General features: G+C 54.6%; 1 protein-coding gene across 8 annotated transcripts in view, besides 5 other annotated features; it reads left to right on the top strand.

Moving 5' to 3' along the window:
- Positions 1–12,493, top strand: part of IP6K3 (inositol hexakisphosphate kinase 3) — a 40,484-nt gene that overhangs the window by 13,080 nt on the left and 14,911 nt on the right. For 2 of the 8 annotated variants that reach the window (NM_054111.5, XM_011514295.4), the window contains exon 1: positions 2,161–2,308. The gene's annotated coding sequence lies outside the window, so the exon portion shown is untranslated. Of the gene's footprint in view, positions 1–243; positions 355–2,160; positions 2,309–2,432; positions 2,479–9,804; positions 9,934–12,493 lie in introns of those variants that run through there. The other 6 variants (XM_024446323.2, XM_047418168.1, NM_001142883.2 and 3 more) reach the window with 6 other exon arrangements.
- Positions 2,541–3,434: an enhancer, noted in NCBI's record as "H3K27ac-H3K4me1 hESC enhancer chr6:33713409-33714302 (GRCh37/hg19 assembly coordinates)". NCBI's record gives its function as "activates a minimal SCP1, AML or CMV promoter by ChIP-STARR-seq in primed H9 embryonic stem cells {active_cell/tissue: H9 hESC(primed)}" and the evidence as "EXISTENCE:reporter gene assay evidence [ECO:0000049][PMID:30033119]".
- Positions 3,435–4,327: an enhancer, noted in NCBI's record as "H3K4me1 hESC enhancer chr6:33712516-33713408 (GRCh37/hg19 assembly coordinates)". NCBI's record gives its function as "activates a minimal SCP1, AML or CMV promoter by ChIP-STARR-seq in primed H9 embryonic stem cells {active_cell/tissue: H9 hESC(primed)}" and the evidence as "EXISTENCE:reporter gene assay evidence [ECO:0000049][PMID:30033119]".
- Positions 4,328–5,221: an enhancer, noted in NCBI's record as "H3K4me1 hESC enhancer chr6:33711622-33712515 (GRCh37/hg19 assembly coordinates)". NCBI's record gives its function as "activates a minimal SCP1, AML or CMV promoter by ChIP-STARR-seq in primed H9 embryonic stem cells {active_cell/tissue: H9 hESC(primed)}" and the evidence as "EXISTENCE:reporter gene assay evidence [ECO:0000049][PMID:30033119]".
- Positions 4,433–4,562: a silencer, noted in NCBI's record as "silent region_17053". NCBI's record gives its function as "represses an Ori minimal core promoter by ATAC-STARR-seq in GM12878 lymphoblastoid cells {active_cell/tissue: GM12878}" and the evidence as "EXISTENCE:reporter gene assay evidence [ECO:0000049][PMID:35858748]".
- Positions 5,480–6,169: an enhancer, noted in NCBI's record as "H3K4me1 hESC enhancer chr6:33710674-33711363 (GRCh37/hg19 assembly coordinates)". NCBI's record gives its function as "activates a minimal SCP1, AML or CMV promoter by ChIP-STARR-seq in naive H9 embryonic stem cells {active_cell/tissue: H9 hESC(naive)}" and the evidence as "EXISTENCE:reporter gene assay evidence [ECO:0000049][PMID:30033119]".

Raw genomic sequence — 12,493 nt, 5'->3', positions numbered from 1 at the left:
CCTGATAGGGAGAGGAGAGGTGGCGCAGGGCTGGGGGGAAAGGAGGTCATACCCTCTTCCAGGGCCAGGTAACCGGAGCCCAGCACACAGCTGGGCAGGGGGAGGGACAGAGCACACAAGAGGCCATGTGCCTTCCCTGGTGAAATGTGATCAGTCAGTCACCCTGCAGGGGGGAGTCAGGGGGCAGGGAGGGGAGGATCGGATCCCCACCCCACTTTAAACCAGGCTTCAGGGCACCCCAGGAATTCCTGTTATTTCTGTGGGGCTCTTCCCTCTCTGGGTGTGGGGAGGCCCACGTCCATCCACACAGTGGAGATGGGAGAGGAGCTCAGCCACCCGAAGGCAGCTGGGCAGGTAGGTAGCCCCACACAGGCTGCAGCCTCCCCATCACGGGAGGCTTTTTTTTTTTTTTTTTTTTTTTTTGGAGACAGGGTCTCTCTGTGTCGCCCAGCTGGAGCGCAGTGGCATGATCAATTATGGCTTACCACAGCCTCAGCCTTCTGAGCTCAAGCATTCCTCCTGCCTCTGCCTCTGCCTCTCAAAATGTTAGGATTACAGGTGTGAGCCACCGTGCCCAGCCACCCCTTGTTCTCTTGCCGCTAACACATCTGCTGAGCGGCTCCTGCTGTGCTGAGCGTTGAAGTGGGCGTAGAGGGCACTGAATGGACAATGGCTGGCGGGTGAGGGCCAGGAGAATGGGTTCAGTCCACCTGCCCCATCTTACCTCTGTGAAATGAGCGGTGAGGGAGAAGGGGCCGTCCTGGAACATGTTCTCCATGGACATGTGGAAATGGAGTAAGTACTACACCAACAGGTCTGGAGGGACCAGAAGATGGGTAAGGGGGTCCTGGGGGATGAGTCCGAGAGAGGCTGAACCAGACCAGTGGGCAACCTGGGCCCGAGTGGAGCAAGCAGCATCTCTGGCCAGAGAGGAGGCTGAGCCCCTCATCCACATATGGAGCAGCCCAGGAAAGGCAGGTGGGGCACCAGTGCCCAGGGGAACTTCAGCCAGATGTCCAGGGTAGCTTGATCTTCCTAATACTGGTCCAGGGTTACTTGGACCTGAAGCCTGTCCCCTGATGAACCCTGTCCTTTGCTCCCACCCCCTCTCTCCCGGTCCACCAGCCTGATTCCTGAACATCTCAGGAACTCGCCGTCTCCTTCCCCACACTGCCCCCTCTCCCAACCAGGCTAGGACTCTCCCAGAGGACAGCATCTGTCTGCCCACCTTTGAGAGTTTTAAACACAAGCCTGAGCCGACTCTTCCTGGCATAAAGCACCTCAGTTCCTCCCAGAGGCTGAGGACAGAGGCTGGTGAGGCCACCTCGTCCCTGCCCCATCTCTCCCCAGTCCCACTCCCTGCAGCTTCCACCTCCCTGACCCTGCTCCCACCTGCCTCTGGGCCTCTGGGCCTCTGGGCCTCTGCACAGCCTCTCCTGTAGCTAGAGCCCCCTTCTCACCACCCTCCCCCACTCAACCAAATGACCCTGTTTCTCCTTCAGCTCTCAGCCGGTCAGCTCCTCCAGGATGCCCTCCTCACTCTCTGCAAAGTCCTCTATTCTCTCACCAGACACTTATCCTGGAGTTGCCCTCTGACTTGCTGAGCCCCCCAGCTGTAATCCCCTGACACTGGGGGTGCTTGGTCAGCCCTAGCAGGGGGTCTCAAAAAATGCTTGTTGATGGCCTGATTGTCCTCAGTCTAACTGACTGTTGACTGATGGAACGTCTTGCCGCCTGACTTTCCTTCTCTGGCAGCCACAGTATGGGGTAAGCTGCAGTGAGGTTCTTGCAGAGAGGATGGGGCAAGAAGCCCAGCAGAAGGGAGAGCATGAACCCCCCAACCCGAGACTCACCCCTTTCCTTTTGAATTAGGAATCAAAAAATAACCAGGGCCTTGGGGTGATGGGCCCTTGGTGCCCAGGTCCTGACATCTACGTGGGCAGCTGAGCTGAACTCTCCCCTGCCTCAGACCAGTCCTCCTTTCCTCCTCCCCTCTTCTCTCTCCTCCTCTTTGTCCCCTCCCTTCCAGCCCCTCTGGCCCTGCCCCAGAGCAGCAGAACACCCAGCTGACAGCTGGACATGCCAGTCCCCACCAGCCCTTCCCCAGAGGGTCAGGTGACCCTTCCCTCCCCAGGCCACGGCAGCCCGGCCCTCCCGGGCAGACCTCCCGCACCAGGGCTCTGGTGAACAGCAAATGCTCCACGCTGGGACGGGCCATTGCCTGATGCCTGTACATGGTGGGCACTGAGAGACAAGATTCCTGGGCCCTGCCTTCCATACACTCCCCACGATCTCGGAGGAAGCTCTGGTGAGTGCTGCCTTGTAGGCAGGGATGGGCAGGGCCAGCCTCTTTGACGGGGCCTGACTGAGGGGAGAGAGGGTCTCGTGTTCACAGGGCCTGTCTGTACCCTGGGGTCTTGTCTCCATTCCAGGCTGGCCAGGAGTCTGCCCCACGGAGGTGCCAGCGTCTTCGTGGAGGTCTGTCCATCTGTGTGTGGCGGGGGTGGGGTAGGGCGTTGGGACAGTTCAGTGTATAGGAATTCTGGCATCTGTTCCTCTTTCATCCCTCTCCCTTCTCCCAGGGGAATTCCACCCCTCCCCTTCCAGGGGTGCCTGGAGCCCTCTCACTTCAGGGTGGACTGGGACTACAGAGGAAGCTGGGGGGAGGGGCAAGTACCGGGGGCTGCGTTAACCCTTAACAGAGGCCGGTGTCCAAGAAACGCGGGCAGCATCCCCTGGGCACAGGAACAGCATGTCCTAGCCCAGCAGCCCCAGCTTTCCACGGGAGGGGGCAGGAGGCCGGCACCAGGCTGGATGACATCAGCATCTACAGCAGCTGCCTGGGGCCTGGTGCAGGGTGGTGGTAGACCACGGGATGGCGGTCATGGGGGTGGGAGACATGTCTCCACCAAACGGTGGTCCCTGATGCCCTGGGCAGTGGTGGAGTCTTGGCCCCCACCCATGACTCTTCTAGGTACCCTAGTGAACCTGAGAACTGAGCTTGCCTTGGGGGCCTTAAACCCCCCATGCCAGGCCCCTTCCCCTGAAATTCTGATCCCATAGGGAGGGACTCTGCCTTCTACATTTTTAAAAAGCTACCCATTTATTTTTTAACCTTTTATTATGAAAAACTTCAAGCATACAAATAGAGGGAATGATCTCATGCACACTTGTACATCCTGCGCCTGATTTCAGCAGTGGCCCGAGTTTTGTCGTATTTGTTTCATTGAATACGCTACAGCTAGAGTGTTCTGACATCACAGCACGCCTCTCCCCTGCACAAAGTCCTCAGCAGGTCCTCACATAACCCACTGTCCACTAACAAATGAACAACTACCCATGAGCGTCTGCATCCTGTCTGCAGTCTCCTTTCCCCAGCTGGCCCTACATGTCTGTTAATGTTTTGTTAGAAAAGGATCCAGTCAAAAGGCATTGGGTCAGCAGGTCTCTTAAATCTCTTTCAATTAGAAAGAGCCTCTGCCAGCCCCCCGACCCCCCACCATGGTGATTTTTCCCCACCACTTTGCCTTGCTGAATCAAAGGGGGGGTTGTCCCATAGGAGGGTAAGAACATGGCAGGGTCAGACAGCTCTCAGTACAGATAGGGAAGCTGAGGCCCCGAGAGGCAGGCTCAGGGAGCCTGAGGCAGAACCAGGTCTCCTGTCCCCTCCTGGGCCACTTCCCTGCATCCCTGCCCCTCAATGCTCCTGTGGCCTCTGGGGCCCTCCCTGTCCTCTGCTGCTTCCGGGGGTCACAGGCCAGGCCAAGCCCACCCCCTGGCCAGCGGCATCTCCTTCTTTCTCCTGCCCTCCACAGAGCCTGAATAAATCCTTCCCAGGCAGAAACCCGGATGGTTGCTCTCTTGTTCACTAGCAGCCACAGGGAACAGCAATAAACTTTATGAGCATCAGGTCCTTCAGGGAAGAAAGCACGTGCACTGGCTGGGGAGGCGCAGGGTGGCAGCGCGTGCTGGCCCGCGGGCTGCAGTTGCAGTGTGTTACCTTAATAATAGTTACTGCAACTCATCCGGGGCTGGGAGGCCCAGCTGGCAGCTGAGAGGCCTCACCCACCCACCAGGGTGCCACAGCCTGGGCGGGATGGACAGATGGGGTGGAGATCGCTGGAGACCCCATCCTGCTCTGCCCAGATGGGCTCTCAAGTGCCCCACCACCCCCAGCCCATTCCCACCCCCTCCCCTTCAGCCCCTGACCCTGGTTAAGCAGTGGGAGGGGAGGGCAAGAGATGTTATAGAACGTTATGGGGAGAATCCAACCTCAATGATGGCTTCTGAGCTTTTCAAAAACATCTGCCTGGTGGAGGCAGAACTTCAGCTGCCATCGAGGCTCTCTGGGACAGGTCTGGGCAAAGCCAGGCAAACCTAGGGCAGTTCCAAGAATGTGTCCCCCAGTGGCTGGGTGAGGAGGTGGGTGCTGGCTTTAGTTTCCAGTTAATCCCTCTCAGGCATTTGGGGCCTCAACGTGTGTGCTGCTGCCCTCTGGTGGGGAAAAACCTTGCCTGCATTCTCCCTCAGCCACACACTCCCACACACGCACAAGCATTCACACACACTCACACAAACATACAAACACATGCACGCACACACACTCCATCCCATTATTGTGTTTTGACCTTAAAGAGCTGTTCCATCTTGCAACCATAAAACTGCCATGCTAACCGCTGGCAACACCTTACGTCTGTGGCTCATAGGTCTCTTGCACAAGACAGGTGGTGGCTGATCATATTACTTAGAGGAAGGCAGCAGGTGTGGGGCAGGGTGTTGGAGGCTGGGAAATGTGTAGGCAGGTCTGGGTGTTTAGCAATATCCAAAATCCTGGGTGCAGCTTCAAGAGGCAAAGTCCGGAGGAGAAAAGCATGGCTGGGAGGGGCTGTCAAAGCAGTTGCTAACCATGGCTGAGGAGCTGCGTGTCCAGGGGTCAGGATCTATTAGGGGGCCAAGAGGGAGAAGCCCTCGCAGCCTCTGCCTCCCCCAGAGCAGCCCTTCCAGTGGCACTTGACTTCGTGAGTCATCTTGCCCCCATGTTTCTCCCACCTTGACAGCAAGATCAGAACATTGTTGGTGCTGCTAAGTACATTTGTCAGTGGCTGAAGGGTTTCTAAACTAATAATCTCTGTATTAAAATCGTATTTGGTCCTCAAGCTGGAGAAATGTTGGGAGATTTTAAATGTTAAGAAAAAAAAAAGAAAAAAAAAACCCTCTCAAAGGATAAAATCAGCCCCGAAATAAGTTTCTATGACTGAGGAATATGAAGTATTGCTCTGTGATTCTAGAAACCAAGCCTTCTCCAGGGAAGAGATGCTCTCCTAAGCCACATATTTCAGCCACGGCTGGGAAAGTGATGTGTGAAGTCCCCCAGCACTAGGTATTGATCCCACCGAGCCGGAGAGCCACACGGACAGAGGGCGCACCATCCTACAGCCCTTGAGTCATTTTTAGAATGGATTTTAAAACTCCATTTTTCCCCCTGGAAAATAAGCTTGTGCCTTCCAACCTGGATGGCCCCAGATGATGCACAACCCCTCAGCCATGTGAGAAACTCCAAATTTCTCCTGCCCATTACAACCTAAGTGGTTTTAAATGGTTTTTGGGTCCTCTCATCTCTAATAGATTAAAAAATGCTCCCTCGGGCATCACAAAGACATTGAATGGTACTTGTACCAAACCTCTGGCTCCGAGAGACCTGTGAAATGTAAGTTAGAGCTTCAGAGGTGAGAGGGCAGGCCATAAACCATGCTGCTTTGCCGTCTGCCACATTTTATATTACAGTTTTCTTTTGCTACAAGCTGTTTCTTAATTATCTTCTACCCAGAAAGCCCTCTCCCCACCACCTAAGATTTATCGGGATGTGGTCCCGAAGGCTTCAGCACCTTGGTGATCTCAGGGTGCCACCTCCCTGCACTGAGCTGGGGCCCAGGCCAGCATCTCCTCTGGCTGGCCAGGCTGGGCTCACTCTCCGTCCCCCTCCACTGCCGGCTGCCTCTGCAGACGCCCTGCTGCTGCAGCACTGGCAAGGCCAGCCAAGCACTCCCGCATCCTCCTCCTCCACACAACACTCCCCTCCAGCCATCGCCTCCCACCATCTCCTTGCCCTTCCCTATTGCTCCCTGTACACACACTCCCCAAAGCAGGCCCTCCCCAAGCTCCCCAAGGCTGAGCCAACATCTCCCCTCCTCCTGGACTCCTTCCCAGACCCCTCAAACCACCCTGATCTCAGCCAGGAGCAGTACCTCTCCTAACCTCTTCTCCAGGACCCATTTGTCAACACAGTTTTTTCCCTACCAGTCCCTATGCAATACTCATTATACTTTTAGGATCTGTTGATTGAGAAAAATAGACGATGACAAAAACTACTAGGAATTCAATAATGCCTTTAAATGAATTTGTATTTTGTTAATTACCAACATATTTACATACATTTGAGAATTATCGTGCCTCTAGGGGATTACTTTCCTACTCTGCAGATTGTGGTGGTGAGGATTTGGGTAAGGTCTTGGCAGGCCCCCCGGGTGGGAGCCCTCACCCAGGGCCCTAAGAATCCACGCTGCCAAGCACTTCGTTAGACACTGCCCACCAGCAGCATGCTGCCCCTGGGTGTGCGGTTCTTGCTGCCCAGTCAGGTGCAGCTTCTGAAAGCTCCCTATCCTGACACAGGTTACTGAGGCAAACAGCATAAAGAGGGCCCCAGACAGCACCCTGGCCCTAAGAGCCTGACTTGGGTCTTGGTCCTGGGTCTCCGAGACTCCCAGAGACAGCCAGAGCAACTCAGCAGCCACTCCCCGTCCAAGCAGACTGCACGTGGTCAGAATGGGCGTCGACTTCAGAGTGAGACAGACTCATCACGGCCGAGTCCCAGCATTGGTGCCTGATAGCTCTGGACCCCGGGAAAACTCTGCAACCATTCTGACCCTCAGTGTCTCCATCTGAAAATTCCTAGCTGGAGACACAGAGGTGTGATTGTAAAGCCAGGGGTCCAGAGTTGACCCTTAGGAGTGACTATGATATAGGATATGTTTGTGCAATGAACTATTTGAGTACCTGACTCAAGTGAAGTTGCTTTGTTTTTTTTTTTTTTGCTTGTTTTTGTTTATTTTTTTCTGAGATGGAGTTTTGCTGTTGTTGCCCAGGCTGGAGTGCAATGGCACGATCTTGGCTCACCGCAACCTCCGCCTCCCAGGTTCAAGCGATTCTCCTGCCTCAGCCTCCCGAGTAGCTGGGATTACAGGCACGTGTCACCACGCCCTGCTAATTTTGTATTTTTAGTAGAGACAGGGTTTCTCCATGTTGGTCAGGCTGGTCTCGAACTCCTGACCTCAGGTGATCCGCCCACCTTGGCCTCCCAAAGTGCTGGGATTACAGGCGTGAGCCACTGTGCCCGGCTTTTTTTTTTTTTTTTTTTTTTTTTGAGATGGAGTCTCGCTCTGTTGCCCAAGCTGGAGTGCAATGACATGATCTTGGCTCACTGCAACCTCCACCTCCTAGATTCAAGCAATTCCTCTGCCTCAGCCTCCCGAGTAGCTGGGATTACAGGCATGCGCCACCACACCTGGCTACTTTTTAAAATATTTTTAGTAGAGAGGGGGTTTCACCATGTTGGCTTAGGCTAGTCTCGAACTCCTGGCTTCAAGTGATTCACCCGCCTTGGCCTCCTACAGTGCTGGAATTACAGGCGTGAGCCACCACGCCAGGCAAAGTGAAGTTGCTTTCAACTTAAGAGCTCCATACTGGGTGCCTGGCTGTGAGTTAGTGCATCAGGCAGGATGGACTAGGTCCTGCTGCATAACAAGCCACCCCCAAATCTCAGTGACTTCATAGAGTGAAGATTTATTTCCATAATGCTATATATCCAGTATGTACAGTCACTTAGGGACCCTACTGACAGAGGCCACACCTCAGCATGTGCTTCCAAGATCACCATGGCCAGGGAAAGAGAATGGGGGGAACATCTCTTGAAGTTCCCACCCAGAAGTAACACATGGCACCCACCCACGTGATGCTGGCAAAAGCAAATCACGTGAGCCACGCTTACCTTCACAGCTGCAATCATACCACATTCTCACAGGGAAAAACAGAATGTTGTGAACAGCCCTGACAATGGCCACAGTCAGCCAGTCTGTTTGCGGATATAAGAAGCCAGCAGGCTTTGATAAGATATAGTCCATGACTAATCTATTCCTATTTTGAACCCCTACAAGTTTGATTTGTGGTTTCGTCTGCCACCTTCCCTAAAATGGGAGTGTGAGTCCTAAAAGAGATGCATCTTCCGTAATGTTAATGAACTCAGATTTAGCATGTGGAAAGCGGTTATAAGATACAAAGACTCTCCGGAAATAAAAATGTGCCGACGGGTTGTGACAAGTTATGATGCCCTTATCCGCCTCGGCTTGATGGGTGGCATCTGTCATTGTGTCTGGCATCAGCGAGGTCTTGGGGTCTTAGAATCACTGGTATTGTCCTGTGTCTCCACTCTGGAAGCCAAACCCACTCACGGCCCTGCTGTCAGTGACCCTCTTTTCTGACTGGGGAGTGTCTCACAGGCTAGCACAGGCTGGCTGTCACTCAGGCCCTGTGGGGCTGCGGAGCAGGGTCTGTACTGGCACAGACAGCCCAGGGCCTCATTTAACAACCAGCTCGGTGTCTGCGCCCCATCAGCAGAAATTAGCCCTGGAGTCTCCTGGAGTGAGGCCCAGCGTTACTTCATTCAGGACATGATGCAACGACAGGGCAGGAGGACACAGAGACCTGGGGCCATCTGTCCACTTCCTGGTGGTGGCAGGAGTTAGGCAGCCTTTAAGTTGAGCTCTTCTGGCTAGAGGCATCTCACCCTCTTCCCTGCTTTATTCTTACTCCCCCTATGCCTCCCCAAGGAGCCCTAGGGAAGGATGCTGGGCAAGGGGTCTGAGCTGTAGGGATGTGGGAGGAGATGTGGGCTGAAGACAGGGACAACTGTCTCCCTTCAAAGCACTAAAGAGAGCCAAGGATATTTGGCAGCAGGCACCTCACCTGCCATGCAGCACCCAAGTTGACTCATGGAAGTCGGTCCTGAGAATAATGCAGGCAGTGACAGACCCTGCGTGGTGGCAATGCTTGGAAGGAGGACTCCACAAAGGAGTGTCTTCACTTTGTCTTCCGAGCATCATGACAAGGCTGTGGCAGAGGGTGACAAGCCAAGCCTCAGAGCACTTCCCCAGTTCATCTCAGGCCTCAGCAAGCTCCAGGAGCGCCTGGAGTAGACCCTGGACTTCTGACTCTTGCCCAAGGCTCTTAGGAAACAGAACAGGCCCAGGGCGTTGATCAAAGGCAGGGCCCATGCCAACGGCAGAAGTGCCTGCATGTGGCAAAAGGAAGGTCTGGGCTGAGAAAGGTCCTGCCAACTTGAATGATTTAATTGGGACTTGCCCGTGAGGAATGGGAAAAACAGGGGCCTTCCCCAGCTCAATCCCACAGAGCTGGAGGCCACACACAAAGGCAGAAACAGATAAAGAACCCTACTCTTCCTTGGGAATTTGAGGTCAGCATCAGTGCCAAGGGGAAGCCACAGACTGCCTTCCCGAGCAGCGGCGAAACCCACCCTGCCCAGCCCCAGCTGAAGCTCCAGGGGCAGAAGCCACTGCTCCTCCCTCCTCCTTCTGCCCCTTCCCACCAACCTGTGTCAGAATTGCAGACCACACAGCTCAGGAGCAGGAGGCCCTGCAGATGTCACCTAATCTACATCCTAGGCTGACCCCCAAGAGAAAGGGCCTCAGTTTCCCTAGCAGCCAAGTCCAGGTTTTCTTTTTTTTTTCACAGGCTGGCTACCTGGTAGACAATCGCTGCCAATCCGTCCAAGTCCAGGGGCAAGGGAGTTTCCACTGCTGTGCCACAGGCTGCACTGAAGGCCCAGGGGTCTTCCCTGCTCACACTGCGCTCTCTGAGGAGGTACAGCCAGGGTTCCTGAGAACATCTGAGATCAGAGGGGAAGGTTGCAGCAGGAACCAGTTCCCTGCTGGGAATGACAGTGCCTCTCGGGTCTCACTGATACCCCCAGCCAGGAGGCTGTGGGGAAGGTCGATACCAACCCCTGCTCTAGATGGGCCTTCAGCCTGATCCCTTGTGGTGGTTTCTGCAGAGGTAGGAGACAGATGTGCTCCCCTCTCCAGCCCACCCACTCCTAGCCCATGTACTGAATGTCATCAAGTGGGATAGGGGACAGGCCAGGGGGTAGACCAGGCCTGGGAGACAGGAAAACCTGCCCCAGCACTGCCAGTGACTTACAGGTGACTTTGGCCAAGTCCTGGCCTCCTTGTGGCTCAATTTCCTGAAGTTTAAAGTATATAAACAACAACCCTCAGCCCCCTGCAGTGTGGCCGGGACGCACACTCTGGGGCTACCATGCCTGGGTTCAAATCCCTGCTCTTCCTATACTAGCTAGGTGCAGATAGGGAAGCTACTTAACCTCTCTGTGCCTCCGTTTTCTCATCTGTAAAACGGGGCTGGTAACACGAATTGCCTCATAGGGTTATTATGGATTGTAAGGCTTAAATAGGTTACTCTATACAAAGCACTAGAACATGGCTACAGCAAGCGCTGTATGCATGTAACCATTTATTGCCATTATTTCCTTGCCACACCTTGCCGCGGTGACATCCATGTCCTTAGAGCTCTTTGGGAATGTGAGCTGGGGAAAGACGAGGGGTGTGGACTTCCCAGTGCAGCAGCACGAGGCCCAGGTGTGATTTGGCTGGGACGCGGCTGTGGAGCTGGGCTGGCATCCGCTGAGGCCAGGTCTGGCTAGTGTGGGGCCAGCCCTGGGGATACAAGTGTGCGGGGCAGGAGTCTTGCCCCTTCCAAGAGTGGCTATAAATGAACTTTACAGACTAGATGTCCCTGTGGTCACCAAAAGTTTCTCTGCCTGGGGACAGGTCAGCTGGCAAAGGCCGACATGCCAGCAAGCCCAGCGAGAGGGGAGGCATCAGGCTGCCTTGGCTTCTCTGCTCTACTCCTTCTTGCCTTCTCCAAATTTGCAAGTAGGATTGGGTTTACAGGCAACTGGCATATCCTGTCCCATAACCAAAGGGTTAGCAAACTGAAGTTATCAGCTTTTTTTGTGGGCCAATTTTCCTCTGTGTCCAGATACCTGTCACCAACTTCTTTTCTCAGGTCCTGAAACAGCTTCCAGATGGGGCTCACCTCTGTGCCACACTGGAGCAGAGCTGGATCAATGCCTAGGCTGGAGTCTTAGGCCCAGCCCCCTCACCATTAGGCCTCCATCCTCCCACCCGAGCAGCCCCGGTTCACCCAGTCACTCCAGCTACGCAGCCAGCCACAGAAGGCTCACCCCGCATCCTACGTACCAGCCAAAAGCCACACTCCTTCTCCCTCCTATAGAGGCACTTCTGGCCTGTAGGGCAGTAGCCAATGTGGAAGAGGCCCAGTGTTGGGGAATGAACAGGCTGTGTTGAGGTTTTCAATGCCCGAGTGAGCTGGAGGTCCGGGCGGCTGGCAGGAGCCTCTCTGAGCCAGAGGCCTGAACAAATTGATGGGCACTGCTGTGCATGAATCCAGCTGGCTGTGCTCGTGGCCTGGATTGAAGGTCAATTAGAGCGTTAATCATGCCCAGCACTGCCCAGCCTGGTGGCATCCATGACCAGGAGTCCAGCAGAGGGAGCGAGTATTAATAACTCGGTGGTGACAGGCACCACTGTGGGAATGTGCTCTCAGGGCACCGCTGTGGGAATGTGCTCTCAGGGCACCGCTGTGGGAATGTGCTCTCAGGACAGGACGAACAGGGCAGGAAGAGCCTCCCCTTGCAGTGTCTCCTTCGCACTCTCCTGAGACAAAGTCAGGACGTCTTTAGGGGCTGTGTTTCCAGCCCAGAGCGCCAGCTTTTGCCTGAGACCCACAGGCCCACCCTCAGGGAGAGTAAGAGGAGTGGGAGGGGGAGGAGGGGGCCAGGCCTAGAGAAGAGCAGGCCCCGGCTTTACTTCCCACTCTCCTGGCCAGCCGCAACCCTGCGCATGGTACTGTAGGCCTCACTCTCCTCATTTGCAAAGTGGCCTGCCTGTCCTACAACCCAGAGCTGTGAGGAAAATAGGACCAGCATGGCAATAATGCTAGAAATAATGATCAGATTTACTGAACGCTTTGCTCTGGGTGCTGGGCTGTCCTTTCCACGGGCCTTATCTCAACCATGTCCCTAACTCCATGAGGTGGGTATCATTATTATCCTGTTCTACAGAGGGAGAAGGAGAAATTGAGGCCCAGAAAAGTTCAGTAACTTGTCTGAGGTCCCACAGCAATTATGTCATGGTATCATGATGTAAATCAATGATGCACACCCATGCTGTACAAAAATAAAGCACTCCTGGCCGGGCATGGTGGCTCACGCCTGTAATCCCAGCACTTTGGGAGGCCAAGGAGGGTGGATCACCTGAGGTCAGGAGTTCGAGACCAGCCTGGCCAACATGGCGAAACCCTGTCTCTACTAAAAAATACAAAA

This window comes from Homo sapiens, chromosome 6 (assembly GCF_000001405.40).
Source record: "Homo sapiens chromosome 6, GRCh38.p14 Primary Assembly".
Taxonomy (NCBI): domain Eukaryota; kingdom Metazoa; phylum Chordata; class Mammalia; order Primates; family Hominidae; genus Homo; species Homo sapiens.
The sequence above is the reverse complement of the archived record's forward strand: the minus strand, read 5'-3'. Positions and strand labels throughout refer to the sequence as shown.